The following is a 21,485-nucleotide window of genomic DNA, read 5'->3' on the forward strand; positions in this document are numbered from 1 at the left end:
GCCACTTTTTTAAAAGGAGCTTGCATTTGGGGGCTGCAAGGTTGCCGCAAGGTTAGACCCGAGGGTGCCCATGGGAGACCTGCCACAGCCAGGCTGCATGGGAAGAGGGCACTTGCTTCTTCCCACAGCTGCGCTGGTACACCGCAGCCCCTGACTCAGGTCCAGAGTCTGACACTGCCAGGTTCAAGGTTGGACTTTACCCCTGGCCCAGATCTCCCACGGGCTATTTATTCCTATCTCCTTTGAAATTCAGCAACGTATTATACCACCTTGAAGAAGATGGGGCAGAGCAGAGGGGAGGCTAGAGGGACAATCCCAAGCAGAGTCCTAAATCTACATCAGATTTTCCTTTTAACCAAAACCTACTTGGTATTCAGCAGAAATTTTGAGTCTAGTGTTTGACATAATTTAATAGTATGCGTTAATGACTATAATTTTCCCCTGTAGTCGAGATACTAAGAAAATGAGAAGTGCTTTATCTACACCACACACAACAGTAACCAGGACAGACTTGGAAATGACAGTGAAGAACAAAGTCTGTGAGGGCCAATGGCTTGTGGGGAACTTCAGAGACACGCAGCACTCCACGCAGAAAGCACATTCCACTCCAGATATAAGAGGGTGGGAGGCTCACTGATATTTGTTATGTTCTTTTACACTGACCACATTGCCGGGTGGTGGGTAATACTGTTCCCATTGTGCTGATACCAAAGCTGAGGCCAGAGGGGTTAAGAGATGGTCTATGTCCAGGAATAAAATTCAGATGTCGTAAGTTCAATTTATTTTATTTTATTTTTTATAGACAGAGTCTTGCTCTGTTGCCTAGGCAAGAGTGCAGTGGTGCAATCACAGCTCACTGCAGCCTCAAACTCCTGGCCTCAAGCAATTCTCTTGCTAAGCCTCCTGAGTAGCTAGGACTACAGGCATGCGCCACCACACCTAGTTATTTTTTTCATTTGTTGCAGAAACAGGGTCTTGCTATGTTGACCAGGCTGATCTCAAACTTCTGACCTCAAGCAGTCCTTCCACCTCAGCCTCCTGAAACACTGGGATTACAGGCCAGAGCCACCATGCCAGGCTATGAAGTTTTATTTTAAGTTTCGAGATGTGGGGATTTCTTTTTTAAAGCAGCAAGTACTACCTGAACTAAAACGGGTGATTTTGCAACTTGCTACGGATTATGGAAATAGTTGGCATCTATATTGGTGAGGTACCCACCAAAACTCAAACAGAAGGAATGCCATTTTGGAGAACGAATCTCAACTTTAACCTTCTTTCATCCGTGGGTAAGCCCTGCTTTTAAAAAATATATAAATAATAATAATTTATTTAGGGTAAGAATACATATTACCTATCAGAAAACATTTCCTTCTGTATGTTAGCTTACCCAGGCAAATGAAAACCTTAGTAAAAACATTTACACCTACGTCTGTCTTCTAAACTACACCTGTGTGTGTGTGTTTGTGTGTGTGTGTTTGTGGGGCGGGGTCCAACTTTCTAATGTACAAGACTCTGAGGCCTGGATTGTTTATTGTCGTAAATTGAGTTACTTCTTCTTTTGGAAAAAATGTAAATGTTGTGATTACAGTCTTCTTTAACTTTCATGTGTTTGACTTGCATTAATTATATATTGGTAGAATTAAATGTTTCACAGTCTGAATTTGGACTTTTGCGCATCAGTTGACAAGTGTTAGTAGCTTTCTCAGGTGCAGCAATGCCCGCCTCCTAAAGGTCCAGCTCAGTAAGCCAGTGTTTGTGCCACTATTTATGTGTCTGTTATTTTATGCTTCAAAAAATAAATTACAACAGAAAAATGAAGCTGCTGATACTAGTAACAAAGATGTTGGTCCCATCACTGTAATATAATTAAGGCCGAGATGGAATTGATCAATGAGCGGCATGCATAAGTCTCCATCTCAATAGACTTTCAGATGGTTGCATTATAAAGGAAAAGAACTAGATTCAATGAAATGTGTTAAATATTGTGCCTGAAAGGCACAATGTGTTCAGATATTTTAAGCTAGTTTTCAGTCTCTGGCAACAGAGCACATCCACCCAGCTGCCACCACAGCTAAAAGTATAATACTATTTGTTTTGAAATGTCTTTTATGCATGCTTTCAAGAACACATTATATACAAAATAAGTGTTTCTAATGTGCTTCACTCTTCCTGTGGCCTCCCAGAGGCCAAAAGCCACATTCGTAGCCCAGTTTTCATGACTGTAGAGGCCCTGAGGCCCTGAATGTCATCTCTTCCCCACTGCTCACTCCTTTAACTGGTGTTATACCTCAACTCTACTGAACATTTCCTTTGGGCCAAATGTTTTAGAACTCCACTGTCTTGGTTCAGTATAAATTTGTGATCTTGTCAAATCCTCTTGTGTAGTGAGGTGGGGAACAGGTGAAGGCGTGGGAAGATGCTGAGCATGTATCAGGTGCTGTGTGAGTGACCGTGAATGCTGGGAGGATGCTCCTGCCCATTCTGCCATAATGGCGGAGGTGGACAAGCAGACATGGGTGTGCAGTGAGACCACATCTACAGCACAGGTGTGCACAAGGTGCCTGGAGACCTGCGAGAAGGATGTGTAAACCAGCAGCTAGCCAAGTGTTCCTAGATAGCAAAACTCAAAGTATCCCTTCAGCATGGAATATCATCTATCTAAGAAGTAAAAATTTTCAGTTGAGTTTAGTGTCTGGTTCAGCTGACAGAGCAAGCACATATTTATTTCCTGCAGTGGACTGAATGTGCCATTCCAAAATTCATATGTTGAAATCCCAAACCCCCACATGATGGCAGTAGGAGGAGGGGCCTTTGGAAGTTAATGAGATCATGAGGATGGATCCTTCATGAATGGATTAGTGCCATTATCAAAGGGACCCCAGAACACTCTCTTGCCTTCTTTCTATTATGTGAGGATCCAATGGTAGCTCAGCAGTCTGCGCCCTGGAAGAGGCCCTCACCAGAACCTGAGTGTGCTGGCTCCCTGCTCTCAGGTTTCTCGCCTCCAGAGCTGAGAGAAATGCATATTTGTTGTGTAAGCCACAGTAATTTATTATTTATGATTACCATTATTTATTTATTTATTTTGAGTTCCCAAATGAGCTAAGACATTTTCTCTTTCTCTAAACAACAGGAGTAAAGAGACAGAAAGGGAATGAATTTCCAAGAAGACCAGCGTAGAACGGAAAAATATCAGAGGAGGGAGAATTGTTAAGGATTTCCAGTATCTCAAGTGTGGATGCTGTCCTGAGCTGACCCAAGGCTCTGGAAAGGTAGGAGCTCTCTTTTGGGGGAAGAAGGGAAGAATCCCATTCCTGAATGAGCAGGTGCAGACACTTGCAAGATAAGAGGCACACACAGAGATGTTTACCTGAAGAACTGCCTGGTGGATGGCTAAGAAAGTGGCCCTGCCTAACACACACGTACGGAGAGACGGAGTTTGCAGCAAGACAGTGAATTATCTGCTTCTCAGTGGTGGCAGGGCCCTGTGAGTAGAATCCTTACATGTCCTCTTCCATGGGCTTGTGGGATAAGAGCAGAGCAGCCTGTAGGCCTGTCCATCCCCAGCCTTGAGGTAAATCCCACCAGTGAACAAGATCCACCCATCCACCCAGAGCTCCCTATTAGCCTTGTGAGAGAATGGCCAGAAATAAAACAGAAACTCCTTTATTCACAAATCCCTAATTTATAAATACTTTGAAACAATGAAGAATTGCCAGCTGCTGTGGTAAACAGAGCACAGAAGAGAGGTGAGTAAAGGTTCTAGTTAGCACTCGCTGAGCACTTTGTGCTGGCACTTTTCTAAAGATTTTGCAAATGTTAACTGATGTAATTCTCACATCCATTCTCTGGGGTGGTTTTCTTTTTCTTTTTTTTTTTTTTTGAGATGGAGTCTCGCTCTGTCGCCCAGGCTGGAGTGCAGTGGCGTGATCTCGGCTCACTGCAAGCTCCGCCTCCCGGGTTCACGCCATTCTCCTGCCTCAGCCTCCTGAGTAGCTGGGACTACAGGCGCCCGCCACCACACCCGGCTAATTTTTTGTATTTTTTAGTACAGACGGGGTTTCACCGTGTTGGCCAGGATGGTCTCGATCTCCTGACCTCGTGATCCGCCCACCTAGCCCTCCCGAAGTGCTGGGATTACAGAGGTGAGCCACCACGCCTGGCCTCTGGGGTGGTTTTCACAAAGGAGGAAACCAAAGCACAAAGCCTAGGTGGCTCGCTCTAGGTCAACAACAAGCCAATGCCAGAGCTGGGATGAGAACCCAGGTTCTGTGTCTGTCATGAACATACACTGCGTGGCTCTGAAGAGAACAGAGAAAGTCAAAAGGAGATAATTTCTTATAGACTTTAAATAATTTTTCCAGAGAAATTCAAGAAAACATCACATCCATAGAAACAAAACAAAGCCAAGTTGCTATATAAAAGAAACAATATGTAAATGAGAACAAATCATTGGAAATGAAAAATACGACGGCCAAAATAAAAATGCAATTAAAAAGTTGTAGAAGTCATCAAATCTTTCAAAGTATAGAGCAAAACACAAAGGAATACAAAAGAAAAATAAAATTTGAGGAGCACTGGCAATAAATTTATTGAGAGGGCAGTCGCCATCTAATAAATGTTCTAGAAAAAGAGAAGTGGAAAAAAATTAGGGAGGCTACTGCAGAAAAAGAATACTGTTTCTTAGAACTGAGGTTCTGAGAGTATCTGAGGTTTTAGATTTAAAATGTCCACTGATTTCTTGGTAGCATGAATACAAAATGACCTAGACATAAACTTATTCCCAGGAAATTTCAAAGCACCAAGTGTCAAGAGAAGCTTATTCACTTCCAGAAGTGAACCAGAAACTTCAGACTGGTACAGAAATATTTCACTGCCACTAGTAGGCATGAGAAGGCAGAGACATGATGTTGTGAAGAAAAATTATTTTGAGCTTGGGTATTTCCAGGCTTCCCTGTTCTTGCCATCCTGCTTTGTGCCCCGGGAGACCAGCAGCTATGTGTTACCTTGCCCTCTGGCTTTCAGTTGGGTTGTAAGGATGAGAGACAAAAGTAGAAGACTGAGAGGAGAAAGAGAATGAAGTCAAAGTATGTATCCCCTCCTTATGTTCCTGCCAGAGAGTTGCAGATTGGCTGCCTCTCTCTACTCAAGACCACAGGTCAAACCAGGAAGCCCTCCCTGTTCATCTTCTCTCTCTTTGGGCTTGCAGTGGATCTGCCATGATCCCTTTGATTTTCCTAAATGTTACCCACATCTTGTAATACCCATATCTTTCCTTATCCAAATTTGCCCTATTACATAGTTAGGGGAACTATCTGAGACAGATAAACTCTGATAAAGAGTGTGGAATTTCAAATCTAGAAATTCATACTCTCTAAACTATTAATAGAGTAAGAAATAGAGATACATGTATATTACCTATGGTCATGAAAATAACTAAAACGATAACTAAATATAAAATTATAATGTCAAGAAAATGTATAAGGAAGACATGAGAGGGAACTAGAGTAGTGTAAAGAGATAAGTTATTTGTCTCCCAAATTCAAGTGAGGAAAGAAAAGAAGTTTTATAGGAGGAATGCAAGCCCTTTCAAATGATCAGGCCTAGAGAGACGTGAAAATGAGACAGCAATCACATCCTACTCCTGCCTTTAAGCTATGTATTCACCTATTGAAACAGCTTGCTATTGTCACAGATAGCTATGAATTAAACTAATAATGCTTCACCAGACACTGTATTCCACACCCCACAGTGTAAAGAATGTATAGCTGATCAGAGATCAGTTTTATTTCTGTAAACCAATAAGAATTCCTCACAGAACCTTGCACCAACACTCTCTCTGTCTCCCGTTCTCTCTCTCCTTTTTTTCCTTTAAAAGCCTGCCTGTAACAAAGGCCAAATAAAGCTCATATCCAAGGTTACTTGGACCTGAACCTCCTGGGCAGCTGTCCTTATCTTAGAATGTGAGCTAAAGACTCACAAGGCTCACAACTTTGGAAAGGAGATCTTTATTTCTCATGAAGGCCTGCAACCTGCAGGCTGGCCATCCCACGGGCTGGGAAGTGTAGCCTCCAGCCAAAGCCCAAAGCAAGCATGTTGAGGGAGGTGTGGAGGGAACAGGAATTTAGGCTCAACAGGCTGGCTAAACATAAGTATTTAACAAGCTATAGGAGACATCATGAATATCTGTGAAAGGAGAAACAAGCACATGTGCAACTGAGCTTCATGCTTCTTCATGGGTCACATGTTTTAAAAAATGGTGATGTTGGCATGATCTAAGAGTGGATATCTGGGCCCTCAGATATCCAAAAGGTGACACAGAGAAGGACACAAAAACTCTCACTAAGCATCCTCCACAAATTGGCCAAAACTAGTCCAGAGATGGTCAGTTTTTAGGTGGGGAAGCATCGTGAAACTGCTGAGCTGTTGGGTCAAATGTGTCTATGTCAAATGAATCCAGTTGTAGCCTCAGATGACTGGCTAAAGGTGATTAAAAAATGAGTTGTCTGTTTCTTGCTTTCTAGAGCTGGTTTCTGTTTACTCCTTAGGAAGGAATTCTGGTTAAAGGATAATGAGGAAGGGACTTACTGAGGCGTGTCTGACCTCCCATCCCATCATGGCCAGGAACCCAGTTTTTAAGGTTTATCTGGGATTCTCCTGGCCAACAGGGGAATCCGTTTAGTCCACTGAGGGACTTAGGATTTTTATTTCTCAGTCTCAAGTAAACTGTTTAAATCTCATTTTGCATTTCATTCTCTTCTTTTTAGGTGGGCAAAAGAGAAAAAGTAGGAGAATTCCTAGAATTTATATTTAGAGTAAGTGAGCAGCAGTGTCAATGCTAAAAAATTATATGGTTATCCTAAAAAATTTCTTTCTGCAAAGCTGTGGCTGAGTTGGTAATAAATTATTAACCACTGGAAATGACAAGATGTGTAAAACCACCCTCTATTTTTTAAATATTTGGCTATTCCACTCCTCCCATAAGCTTCCTTTGTCCCAAGATTAATTATTCTAAAATGGTTGGGCCATTTCTCCAGAATACAGAATATGTTAGCTGTCATTATTGCAGACTTGTGAAATAGTAGCGTTTGAATCTCTTGTCTGAGCACGGCTGTGAGAGGTATTCAGAGGATTCTGTGGGCAGGTAATGTTTTGGTTTCATGAGCAGGAGCAAAAATCCAGAAGGCTTTAACACTTCAGTGCATCCCAAGGCACCCCTATTGAGTATTGTATAGAGGATCTCAAAAGATAACAGCCACCTGAGGAAGGAAAGCAGCTCATAGCAGACTGAGCTGTGTGAGGTCTGCGAAATTTATCAGGCCCAGAGAGGCATGAGCTTTGGACTTCAGTCCTTCCCCTGCATCCATTCCCAGGGGCAATTATTTTAAGACATTTTTGTTCCTGAGTAGCCGCCCAGCCCATTACCTTCATGTTCCTGTAATATATGAAGCAAAGAACAATGAATAGCCAATTAATAACATATTATTTCAATGTAAACTCTAGAAACTATCTCTTTTTTTCCTTAAAAACTCACTTGTAACTGCTACAGTGAGAGTGTATATTCAGGACAACTTGAATCTATGTTCCCAGGTGGCCATCTTCAAGCTCAGATAAACTCTATACTTAATCATAATTTCTGAATCCCATTGTTTAAGGTTGGTACACCACAATGGCCTAGCATCCTTCTGTTCCATGAGAGCAATAGACACCATTCAAAGGGCTATTCCTCTCCACTCTCTAGACTCTCTTTGTACCAGCAAGTTAACTGTTGAGCAATTCTTTGGTAATTAAACAATCATTACAGCATTATTAGCTCCACACTCTGGATGACATCTTTAAGCCTCTCTCATGTGTTAAGCATGTCTAATGTGTTTTTCCACTTTTGGATAACTTAAGAGACCAAAATATACCACCTCAAAATATGCCTCTTTGGCATAAGCATTATTTTGAGCCAACTATTTTTGAGAAACAGCAGACACCGGAGAAACAGAGTAGAAGTTACTCTTTTGCAAGGAAGACTTACTTCTATAATGAAAATCTCCTTTTGTAATGATACCTTCCTTTCAGTACCAGGAAGGAAAGGATGGCTAAATCACAAAAGACTCATCTATGGAGAAAGCACCAATTTAAATCTGCATAACAAACCTCACCCTTTTCTATCATGCTTTCCCTGGTCACCTCCCCAGGACTGGCTTCCCCCCCAGTCTTCTTTCTTTGTTTTAGATGAAGATGGTATTTAAGCCTAAATTCTAAGCCATTTCTTTTATATTTCCCCTTTTTTCCTGAGTATCTCCCATGCACACCTAAAGAATACATGTCAATAAACTTCTGTTTGTTTTGTCCTTTTTTTGTTTGTTTGTTTTACAGGGGATCCTAGCTAAATAGAAGAGTAGAGGAAAAACGACTGTTTCAACCCTTACCGTAATCAACTTTATTGTGATAAAGATTCACATATTTTGCAATATGTCTTATCTTTATGGAAATTAAAAAATCCAATCACAGAATCAAAACTTCAGAAATATAGCCAAATATAAGTGGAAATTTAGTATACAATAAATGCAACATCTCAAATTAGTGGAGAAAAATAGAATTATTAAAAAGCAGTATTGGAAAAACCATATACCTATATGGAACAAGATAAAATTAGATCTATTCATTACATTCAATACCAAAAAATTCTAAATATATCAGATATTTAAATGTAAAAAAAAGCAACAAAATAATTTTTAAAACTTCGATGAACTTTTCTATTATCTAGGAATAAAGAAATGTTTTCCTAACATAAAATTTTAAAACGTAAGAGAAATGTTTAGTAAATTTAAATAAATAAAATATTTAAGATCTTAGTATGATCGTGTCAGAGGCATTTGAACCAGTGTGACTCCATCTTGAGTAGGGGCTGGGTAAAATAAGGCTGAGACCTACTGGGCTGCATTCCCAGGAGGCTAGGCATTCTTAGTCACAGGATGAGATAGGAGGTCAGCACAAGATATAGGTCACAAAGACCTTGCTGATAAAACACGTTGCAGTAAAGAAGCCAGCCAAATTCTACCAAAACCAAGATGGCAATGAAAGTGAGCTCTGGTCATCCTCACTGCTCATTATACACTAATTATAATGCATTAGCAGTCTAAGGGACACTCCCACCAGTGCCATGACAGTTTACAAATGCCATGGCAGTATCAGGAAGCTACCCTATATTGTCTAAAATGGGAAGGAACCCTCAGTTCCAGGAATTGCCCACCCCTTTTCTGGAAAACTCATGAATAATCCACCCCTTTTTAGCATATAATCAAAAAATAACTATAAGTATCCTTAGTCCAGCAGCCCAAGCTGCTGCTCTGCCTATGGAGTAGCCATTCTTTATTCCTTTACTTCCTTAATAAACTTGCTTTCACTTTACTCTGTGGATTCACCTTGAATTCTTTATTGCTTGAGATCCAAGAACCCTCTTTTGGGGTCTGGATCAGGACCCGTTTCTAGTAGCAATAGAAAAAATAAGCAAATAGTCAAATGGCAAAACAGGATAAAATATTTGCAATGTATATTTCAGGCAATAAGTGAATATACCTACTACATAAAGGACTTTTTAAAATGTTGGGGTGGGGAACTAATTACTTTATAATAGACTAGAATTATGAACACACATTCCACAGAAACATAAACACAAATATCTCCTTAAAATATTTTGAAAGGTTAAACTTAACTCGTAACTTGGAAATGCATATTAAAAGTGTACTGAGTTTTGTGTCATCAGACAAAAAAAAATCTAAAAGTTTGATGACATATTTGGTTGGTGATTCTATGAGAAATGGGCCCTCTGATAAATTGGCAGTGTAAGTGCAACGTGGCACAACCCAGGAAAGGAAAATTTGGCAATATATAGTAAAACCATGTATATAGTTATCCTTTGACCCAGCCATCCCACTTCTAAAGACCTTGCCCAAAGATGTACTGGGAAAGAAAAAACAAACAAACATGAAAAGCCATGTTAAAAGGCTATTCACTGCAGCACTATTAGAAATAGCAAAAACCCAGATGCTCACCAGTAGGGAGTCGGTTGTACAGAGTACAGTGCACAACACAACTGAGTACCATGCAGCTGTGAAAAGGAATGAGGGATCTCTTCATACACTATATGCAGTGACCTCCAGAATATTGTCAAGAGAGTCTTAAAAAGGAGAGTCATGTGCTAGTATGCTGTCATGTACTAAAACAGAAAAATACGAAAACTAAAAAGGGGTGATATCTATATATTCATCACCCCCTTTAATATATAGATATAGACATAGATCAATGTATGTATATATATATACACACACATAGATAATGCATGTGTGATTTCCTTATATTAAAAAAGGAAAGATAAAAATGGTTACTGTATCTGCCAACTATATCTACAATAATGCTACGTGACAAACTACCCTAAACTCACTAGCTTAAAAGAATAGCCATTTACTCCCAAGTTCCCAGGCTGTGGGTCACACTGGGTTTGTCTTCTTTCTTTGAGATGTGAGTCTAGGGTCCGCAGGAGAAGCTTTGCTTTAGGCTGTGGGTCTTCAAGGCAGCAGGTGGAGCTCTGCTTAGGTGTCTCACTTGGGGACCCAGCTGAAAGACAGGGCTACCAGAAATGAAACTGCCTTTGCAAAGATGATGACAGTGAGAAAAGTCTAGCATGGCTGACTCCATCTTGCTTCCAGCCTCACAGGTTGGCTGTCTTTGCTCATTCCTGCAGAGGCCAAGCTAACCACAGGAGGAATTTAGTTTATAGTTTAACTTTGAAGGAAGGATAATAACAGTCTCTCCCTAAAACTGATTCCCCCTTGTTTAGGGGCTGAAACCACCTTTGTAAGACTAACAAAAGGCCACAAGATTATGGGAGAAGCCTGAATTCTGCTAGGATATAGTTGTAGTTTCTATAATTCCTTATTGCTCAGGAGTCATGTGGCCAGAGGTCACTAGATTTGTAACTTCCCCAGTTGCTCCAACAATACCACTATTATAGAACCTAAGATTGGTCTCTTGATATATTTTTTAGACTTTTGCATTCTGGCAACAGACTGACCCCACCTGGACTTGTGACTCATAACTCAACCGGTCCTATGGCCCCTACCCAGAGGCAGACACAGCACATGAGGACTGTTTTCCACACACCTATGATTTCATCACCAACCAGTCAGGGGCACCCATTCCCTAGCTCCTGCCCAATAAACTATCTTTGAGAAACCCTAACCTCTGAGCCTTCAGAAAGACTGATTTAAGTAGTAACTTCAGTTCTCCCATGTGGTCAACCTCGTGTTAATTATACTCTTTACTGCAACTTCATAGTCTCATTGGACTAGTTTTGTCTGTGCAGTAGACAGGAAGAACTCATCGGGCAATTACAGAAACACAGTCTTCCTCATGGCAGAAGCAGCTCCTGGAAGGGTTAATAGAAGCATGACACACTAAGGGTTGGGTTTAGAACACACACAGTCACTTCTGCCTGCATTCCACTGGCAAAATCAAGTCATCGGGCCTGGCTCAACATTAGCAGGGTAGGGAGTACAGTTCTTTCATGAAGGTAGGGTAGGGGAAAGGGGTGAATATTTGTATAATGATAATATAATGTAATATAAATAGGTATAAGGAAGGTAGAAGATTGAAAGCAAAATCAATGTTCTTAATTGTAAATTCAATGATTGACATAATCCAGGGGTGGTAAACTGTGACCTGCAGGCTAATTCCATCCCAGGTCTCTTTTTGTACTGCACATGAGCTAAGAAGAGGTTTTACATTTTTTAAAGGCTTTGTGGAAAAGGAGGAAGAGGAGAAGAAACAGAGACTATCTGTGGTTCACAAGGCCTAAAATATTAACTGTCTGACTCTTTACAAGAAACTATTTGATGACTCCTGGCATAACCATGCACAGAGGAAATATTCTAAATGCTTTTGAACACAATAATTTGATTGCATATTCCCAGTGGAATCTACTTTCTGATAAAAAGAACTTTAAAAAAGAATATTAAACTGTTTTCCATCATATTTTTGGTATTAGCAATGGTATTGTTATGAGATTATCATATATGTAATATAGAATTAAGCAAATGATTAACCATGTGGTTTTTTTGGAAATTTGCATTTTTAACATTGGGGAAAATACAGATATAAGATCAATAAGGTAAAGTAAAACCATGTAGTCTTGAATTTGAGTTAAGAGTAGCAGTGTGACCTCATTTTATATTTTATCTTAACATTTTTTTTTCCTGGATCCTTGAAAACAATGACAAAGCAAGTATCCTAAACCAATAGAAAGGTAGCCCATGTTCCTGGTTTGGAAGACTCAATTATGGTTAACATGCCGTTTCTCCCCAAATTTATCCAAAATTCAATCAGTCCAATTCTAGCATCAGGAATTTGCAGAAATTGACAAGCAGATTCTAAAATTGATATGAAAATGCCAAGTACCTGAAATATTCATAATAATTTTTTTTAAAAAAGAAACATTTAGAGGATTGACATCTGATTTGAAGACATATATAATATGTATTGATATAAAGCTGCACTAATCGAGAAAGATAATATTTGTGTAAAAGATAAAACAAATAAATCTATGGAACAGAATAAACTATCCAGAAATAGATCCACATATGAATGATCCAATGATATTCAACAAGGATGCTAAGGTAATTCAATGGAGAAAAGACAGTCTTAACAGCAATTGCTGCCAGAAGAACTACATATCCATATAGAAAAAAATATTAATCTTTCCTTTACACCATATAAAAGATAACTCAATGCATCATAGACATTAACTTAAAAACTAAAACTATAAACTTCTGAAAGAAAACCTAGGGAAAAAATCTTTGCAACCTTGGAGTCGGAAAGTTTTTTTTGATAGGAAACAAAATGTATACGTTTCAAAAATCTGCTTTTTGAAAGACACCTGTGATACTGGTCTTCAACCCGGTTTTCTGACATACAACTCTTTTTGAAGATTAGAATCTCCAAAATGATGTCTTTTGTATGCTAATGAGTTGACTGGTAGCTGGGGGACCCTAGGTAGCTTCAGAATGGGGGCAGTTATCAGAAAGACCAAGGCAGGGTTCCAGGGTCAGGACTTTTAGCCACACCCCACAACCACTGGGAAGAGAAGAGATGCTGAGAGTTAAGTTCATCACCAATAGCCAATGATTTAATTAATCATGTCTATGTAATGAGGCTTCCATTAAAACCCAAAAGAACAAGGTTTGGAGAGCTTTGATAGCGGAACATGTGGAGGTTCCTGGAGGGCGGTGCGCTCAGGGAGAAAGTGGAAGCTCCACGCCTCTTCCCCACTACCTCGCCCTATGCATCTCTTTCTCTTTATTCTTTGCAATATCTTTTATAATAAACTGATAAACATAAGTGTTTCCCTGAGTTCTGTGAGCCACTCTAGCAAATTAATTGAACCCAAAAAGGGGGTTGTGGGAGCCCTGATTTATATAGCTAGTCATTCAGAAGTTCTGAAGGCCCGAACTTGCAACTGGTGACTGAAGGGTGCAGTGGTCCCCCTCACAGGCTCAGTGACTGAGCTCTTAACCCATGAGATCTAAACTGTCTCTAGGTAAACAGTGTTGAATGGGAGGAGGCCCAGCTCCTGTCCACTGCAGGCTTGATTACTTGCTCACTGGTGGGGAGAAATTCCCACACGTTTGGTCACAGAAATCTTCTGTGTTGATTATTGTGTGGAATGACAGCAGAGGAGAAACAGCTTGAGTTTTTCCACCTTCAACACCATGAAGAAAATTAAAAGGAAAGACCCAGTTCAGGAGAAAATATTCTTTAAACGTTCATTTGATAAGGAACTTGCCTTAAGAATATATGAAGAACTCTTAAAACTCAATTTAAAAAAAAAAACTTTGATTTAACTTTGATTTTTTTTTTTTTTTTTTTTTGAGATGAGGTCTTGCTCCATCTCCTAGGCTGGAGTGCAGTGGTGCGATCTCATGATCTCAGCTCACTGAAACCTCTGCCTCCTGGGTTCAAGCAATTATCCTCCTTCAGCCTCCTAAGGAGCTGGGACTACAGACACATGCCACCACGCCTGGCTAATTTTTGTGCTTTTAGTAGAGACAGGGTTTTGCCATGTTGCCTGGGCTGGTCTCAAACTCCTGTGCTCAGGTGATCCACCTGCCGCGGCCTCTCATAGTGCTGGGATTACAGGTGTGAGCCACCGTGCCCAGCCAAACTCTAATTTTTTTTTAATGAGCAATGGATTTGAATAGATACTTTACTAAGTAATATAATAAACAGCAAGTAAGCACATTAAAAAACCTACAATCAGATGATCTTCAATGGGTGAACAGATTATTAGCACATGATGGTACATCCATACCATGAAATCCTACTCACCAATAACAAGAAATGAATTATTGACAAATGCAGTAACTTGGATGAATCTCCAGGTAATTCTGCTAAGTGAGAAAAGCCAATCCCTAAAGGTCATAGACTATATAATTCCTTTTGTTCCATATTCATAAAATGACAAAATTATAGAAATGGAGAACAGATTGGTGGTTGCCAGGGATTGGGGACTTGTGGGCAGGAGTCAGGGAAGTGTGGCTATGAAAGGGCAGCAGGGGGGAGCCTTGTGTTAATGGACGTGTTTGGAATCTTGGCTGTGCTAATGTCAGCTTCCTGGCTGTGTATTGTACTATGGCTTTGTAATGTGGTACCATGGGGCGTAAGCAGGGTAAAGGGTGCACAGGACCTTTCTGTATTTATTTTCTAAAACTTCATGTGAATCTACAATTATCTTGAAATTAAAAATTTAATTAAAAAAAGCCTTGCACATAAAGGGGAAAACCAAAGCATGTGTAATACCTTCCCTATAGGCACACTTTCTCAGTGGAACCACAAAACTGATAGGGGAAAGTTTCGTTTTATGAGCATATTCCAGCTGACAAATGAAGAAGGTGCGATGAGACTAGACTATCCCCATTTGGAACCTTCTGTGAGGTGACAGATTATGATGTAATCATTGATGGCTGTTAACATCACACAATAAGGCCTTATGAAACTCACACAGCACCACCTCTAAAGCAGTCTTGTCACAAAATATTAAACCTGGACCTGATCAAGCATCTGGACTGGCTTATGGATATAGAGAAAATGTAGGGGATAGATGAGCACGGGAAATGTCTCCGTGGGGCAAAATTCACGAAATTCAGATTGTTGGACACTCTCCAGGACAAAAGGTCTAGATTCTTCAAAAACAACAACATCGAAAAAAAAAAACTGCCAGAAAGAAAAAATACAGAGGGAGAAGGTAAATTAAAAGAAACATAAGAGTTATACCCATCAATTACAATGAGTGGGTCTGTTTTGGCCCCAGGTTCAAACAAACTGTAAAAATTTTAAGAGCAGCCATATGACAATTGGGAAAATGTGAACACTGACCCCATGTTTGATGTTATTAAGGAATTATTAATATTTTAGGTGTAAAAAATTGTATTGTGGGTATAACTTTTTAAAATCAGGTATTTGTACCTCATTTGTACATTTGTACGTTTGTACATTGTACATTTTGTACAATTGTACAAAAACATTTGTATAGATACATACTGAAATATTTATAGATCAAATTATAAAAATCTGAATTGGCCATTCATCCATAATTGTTGAAGCTGGGTGATGAGAACATGGGGGGTCACTATACTATTCTCTCTACTTTTGCACATATTTGAAATCTGTAGTAAAATTTTTATTTTAGGAAACATAAACAAAGTAATTTAATATTCCCCATATTGGCCTCTGCAAAAATAATATCTCATATAACTTGGGGAGCTTGGAGCTTTTTATGCATGGCATAAAAATGACAATGTACATCCCTCTCCCTGCAGGACACAGAACACATTTATGAGTCTTTTCACCCTCATTTCGTTGAAGATTTTATTGGCCGAAGAACCCTCAGTAGGCACGAAATTCATTCTCACAAGCAGAGAGATGCATTATGCTCCATTTATTGCTCATCCTAAATTATAAACATTTCCAGTGAATGTAAAGGAAGATATGATTGAAAAGGACTCTGTGAAGACAGGATGTTTCTGTACAGTCCTTGTATCTGCTCACCTATTCCAAACTTTCCAGAGATTTTACCAGAGGTTTAAGATATTCTCCTGAGGGTTTGCTGTAGAGAGATTTTTCTTAACTAAGGAGTGCAAGTAGCAAGCAATAGCCCACCCAGTTGGAGACAAAAAAGAAGGGTGTCAGTGTTCCCACTGTTAAAAAACAAAAAAAAATCACCCTGGACACCTCTGAGAATTATACAAGGGGATGTACACAGCCCTGCTTTATTTGAGTTCAAAAGGAAGGTGGGTTTTGAAAGAAGAACAAGGAGAGTAGATCTCTCTGGATCTTCTGATGCTCACAGCAAAGAGCTCAAGGTATCTGAGTCAACTCTTGAGGCTTCTTCGAACAGAGGGATGAAGAGAGAATATGGCAAGCTTGCCAACAGATCCCAGAAGTTTTAAGAGAAAAGAACAGATTGCTCTTTGCAAAACAAACCGAGCTGGGTGCATGGAGCCCCAGTAGACAGAAAGTGAAGAAAACATCAACGTTCTGAAGTTTTAGATAGGTGCACCATCCCTTATGGATACCAATCTGTGCTCCCCATAAACTTCTGTGCCCAGGGTCAACTGGCCAGGGACAACTGGCTCACCAGGAGGCCTACATAGCCTCTTCTTCAGGCCCTAATTACAGCTCTATGCAATAGGGACTCTGCCATCTGACAGCCAAGGAGGTGGTTCGGTTTCTGCACATGGTTTTTTCCGCTGGGTCCCTTGAGGTCCATGGTAACCTCTTCCTCATTCTCTACAGGCAGATCACACTTTGTAATAAGATCAGAGGCAGAGAACTTTGACCAGATCACACTTTATAATAAGATCAGAGGCAAAGAACTCTGACCAGATCACACTTTATAATAAGATCAGAGGCAGAGAACTTTGACAACTATCTCCTTGCCCTCTGGCCCTGGGGTCAGGGCTACTCAAACAACACCTGCTGTCCCAAACCCGGAGAAGTGTAGATTTTGGCACTGGTAGAGGAATAACAGCTATTGTTGACACTTAATCTTGTGGGCCTGGAATTTCAACTATGTTTTCACAACTCGGAGCCTATTGCTGCCACCTCTGTCAGGGAAGATAAATGGGCATGAATAATAGACAGATGAGTTTCCCAAAAGCCCAGACAGGCTGCAGGGAACACGTAATGAGCAGACAGTGTGGTTCACGCCGGGGAGCCCAGGTTTATCCAGGCCTCATCCTCACTCCCTTTCTCTACTGATAATTGGACCCAACAGGACCATTCCGAATCATTTTTCTCTCTTCAGTTATTCTTCAGTTCTACTCAAAGGGTCAGTTTAGGGCATAATTAAAGTCAATTACTTTCTGAAAGGCCATCAGGACAACTGTTAGAGAAAATGATAGCAGCCCCGCACTTGCTGTAGGAATTATTAGCTTGTCAGCCTCCAGGCTTATGGAGACAAAGGATCAAAAAGTTAGAGAGATCCAGGTGTTCACCTATTTGTTCACTAATTCTTTTATTGTGAGTGTGCATGTGTGTGGGTGGGTGTGACATTTATTATGAACCAGAGGGCAGGAGCCAGTGACACAGTGGTGCAGAGAATAATCATATTCCCTGCCTTCCTGGGGTCATACAGCTTGGTGGAGGACACAGATGTGAATTCGGTAATCACTCCAATAAATATTCTCCTACAGATGAAGAAAGATGATACGATGTGATGGACAACAGAGACTTATATGGTGGGGTCTGGGCTGGTCTTTCTGAAGCTAAGACTGGCAGGATGAGCAGGAGTTTGCCAGACAAAGAGGAGTGGAGTTGTTTTCCAAACACATCTCAGCACAAAGTGTTGTCTTTGCTGGGAGCTGAAAAAAGATAGTGTGGGCAGAGACCATTAGGTGAGACGCTTGATATGAGATACAACCTCAACAGGTGGAAGAAGATCATGAGAGATGAAGAGAGGAATATAGTACAGCAGAGAGGACACAGAAGCTGACGTCAGGGTGTCTCAGTTTGAAACCAGTGGCCACCCTGTTCCTCTCCCATGTGGTCCCATCATGGGCCTCTAGGGTCTGGGATAAGAGGTTAATGAATATCTCATACCCTAAGCAGGGGTGGTCCCTGCACTTTAGCAAAAAGTTAAGGAACTAGGGAAAAGAGATGGAAATAATAAAGAGATGGGACAAAGACTTTGAAGACCAAAGCCCCTGGGCTATTCTCTTTTTTAAATTTTTTTATTTAAATTTTCATTTATTTTTATCAAGATAGGGTCTCACTATGTTGCCCAGGTTGGTCTCAAACTTTTGGCCTAAAGCAATCCTCCCACCTTGGCCTCCCAATGTGCTGGGATTACAATGTGAGCCACCACGTCCAGCCTCCTGGGATATTTCTCAATGAAACATTGGATGCCAAGATTGGTTTTGTGCCACATGCCAATTTCACAGAAGCCAGTCTATGAGCCACCAGCTCTACTCAGCAATTACAGTTTCTGGAACTTTGGCTAAATTCCTGTAGATGCACCACTGCTTGTGGCCTGACTCTTTGCCACCCAAGTGCGCTCAGCCTCCCCTGGGGAGTCTGCCAGGCTTGCATGGCTCCCACTGCACTTGCTGTGCTGGGACCGAAAACAGTTTTTGTGCCCCTAGCTTAACTCCACTGGATTCATAGAGGCTTTGGCCTCCTCAATGGCTGTCCTGGGACAGGGAGGCTGGTTAGCACAATTAACACAACCTGGTCATGCAAGGCATTGATGGTCCGTAACATGAACTTTGACCAGTAGGAGACAGAGAATGGAAAAAAGCCAGCAGATAAATCATCTGGCCTTCCTCCCCTATGACAGACTGTTCTGAGCCACAGTGTTTCACATGTCTTCCTGGAGATGTCCCACATGACTTGAGCAACCAGCTGGAGCTCTGGAGAAACTGTGGCCATCCTGGTAACATATGACCTTGTATTTGCTTTCTCTCCTTCCTGCTTTATTTCCCTATGTCCCTTACTTTGGTTGTTGGGATTGCACCTCCCAATAAAGCATTAGCATGTCCGCTCTGCTTGGGGCTCTGTTTCCTGGGTTAAGACTCTGACTCTTGAATGCTGAGGCATTGTATTGAGAAGGAGTTCAGGCTGGACTCACACCTGGTGAACAAGAGTGCTGTGGTGCGTGAGTGAGTTCTTCCACAGGTATAAGAAAAGATACTTAGTACCTGCCACCCCTGAACTATCCTTTTACGGCAAATGTTTGCTTAAAGTCAGCAGTCCCCTAAACATACTTGAGATCACAGATGAAGCAAAATCAGACTATCTCCCAACATAGAAAAGCACAATAGGAAAGAAATATTTGGTGGTGAGAAGATTATAGCTATAAGCAAATTAGGCAATCCATCTGTGAGACCCAGCATGCAGTATGGTAGAAGTTGAAAATAAAAACATGGATAAAATTGCTTAATGGATTATAATAATATGCATGACTGTGTGCCAGGCAGTGTACTAAGACTTTCTTGTTTCATCCCATTTGCTTATTATAACAGTACTATAAGACATGCACTCTTACAAACCCTTATTTTACAGAGGAAGAAACAGGCCCAGAGAAGTTGGGTAACTCATCAAAGGTCACAGAGCTAAGAGTGGCAGAGTCAGGCCTGGAGCCCAGGAAGTCTGGTTTCGAATTTCATGCTTCTAACCTGAGCACTGTACTGCTTGGTGGAGTTCTCTGCTAGTCCTACCTTTCAGGCAGAGGTGAGCATTGCTGAGATTACATGCCTGTTCCTGGGGGCTAATACCAGGAGGGAGATTAGACTGTTCTGTCTAATCTGTAGTTTGGCTCTTCCATGAGTCTTGGGATCAGAACCCTGAATCAGAGAGAGATGGACACTGGCCTAGGCAGATGTGATGGTCTGAATGTGTTTCCCACAAAGCATGTATTAGAAATGTAATCCCCAACTCAACAGTGTCAGGAGGTGGGGCTTAATGGGAGGTGTCTAGGTTATGGGGGCTCCACACTCTTGAATGGATTAATGTCCATTATAAAAGGACCTGAGGCTGTGAGTTCCATCTCTTGCTTTTTCTCCGTCTTTCGCCCTCTTGCCTTCTGCCACAGGTGATGCAGCAAGAAAGCTGCCACCAGATGCAGCCCCTTGATCTCGGACTGCCCAGCCTCTAGAACTGTGAGCCAATTAAATTTTTCCTTTGTAAATTACCTAGTCTCTGGTATCCTGTTATAGCAGCATAAACAGGCTAAGATAGTAAGACAGTAGGGAAACAAGCTCCAGATGTACTTGAAGTCTCTTGTTCTTATTTTAGGAGTTGAAGAGCAATTCCCTCCAGTTTCCATTAGAAATGCTTCTTCTTCCATATCAAATATTGTGAGATAGCCTGAAACACCTTTCAACACTTTACTACCCTTCTCCAAAATTCAACAGATATGATTTCCACGGACTTTACTCACAGGGGCTTCAGTAGAAGAGGAAGAGGCTTGGGTTTAATTGAAGGTGGCCTGAGACATCTGTGAGGAACAGCCCTTTTAGAGACATATCCCCTACAAATAAAGCATCAGAATTATTATCCTAATACATGAACATCCATGGTTCCTTCAGCACCATCGTAATGCAGAGACCATGGGGAGATGCAGGGAGAGGGCTCTGCACAGCATGGCCAACTTGCCGGGTTGAAAACAGACAACCTCCATGGAGCAGGGACTTCAATTAGTTAATTCCCCATCCCCACTGTCACTTACTAACATGGGATTCTGATTAAAAATTAGATTCTCTGCAAGAGGCTTAACTTATAATTTAAGAACTTTTGCTGTATAACCATTGCAAAAACAATTACATAAAGATTAATTAGCAAATTCCCAAAACAGTAGTAAACGGCAAAGTAGTTTAATTAAAACCATTATCTCCAAAATCTGAACGTTAATAACAGTTGTAGCTCAGGGAGAAATAAGAGGCACACTGGCACAGAGTGGGGTAAAGGGAGGGTGTCCTTCGACACCAGCATTCAGTCAGCCCAAGTCTCCACGGCTGCTGTCCTGTTAATTACACTCCAGAACTCTGTGGCCACCGCGTCTTGAGAGGCCCTGGGCTCCTCCTATGAGCCTCTGCAGCTGTAGCCTTGACGAACTTGTCATTGCTGGCCTGCCTCCAACAAGAGGCCTTTAGCCCTCAGAAGAGAGGGAGGCAGCAGGGGGCACGAACAAGACTTTTAAGTGGGGAATTCATAAAATTTGGAATTGTCAGAAAACATCTGTAACCATGACTCTTGTCCTTCAGAAGACACTGATAAATTTAACCCAACCCAGACCCCTTAACACAAACTCTGAAGTAAAAGATTGGCAAAGGAAGCCCATGAGAATGAAATGTAACAATAGCAACTATGTAGTTAGCACACACACCATATGATCTCACACATTCACAAGATCCTCATGAAGCCACATGGCCTTCATTCTGTTA

At 41.1% G+C, this 21,485-nt stretch overlaps 2 long non-coding RNA genes across 2 annotated transcripts; both read left to right on the forward strand.

Annotated features, from left to right (window-relative positions):
- LINC00906 (long intergenic non-protein coding RNA 906) lies at positions 15,065 to 19,082 on the forward strand. Its single transcript, NR_027318.2, has 2 exons — positions 15,065 to 15,289; positions 15,864 to 19,082. It is a non-coding gene; the product is annotated as a long intergenic non-protein coding RNA 906 (long non-coding RNA).
- LOC102724958 (uncharacterized) lies at positions 18,402 to 20,606 on the forward strand. Its single transcript, NR_110760.1, has 4 exons — positions 18,402 to 18,976; positions 19,606 to 19,773; positions 20,135 to 20,201; positions 20,338 to 20,606. It is a non-coding gene; the product is annotated as an uncharacterized LOC102724958 (long non-coding RNA).
- The last annotated feature ends 879 nt before the right edge of the window (positions 20,607 to 21,485 follow it).

This window comes from Homo sapiens, chromosome 19 (assembly GCF_000001405.40).
Source record: "Homo sapiens chromosome 19, GRCh38.p14 Primary Assembly".
NCBI classification, from domain to species: domain Eukaryota; kingdom Metazoa; phylum Chordata; class Mammalia; order Primates; family Hominidae; genus Homo; species Homo sapiens.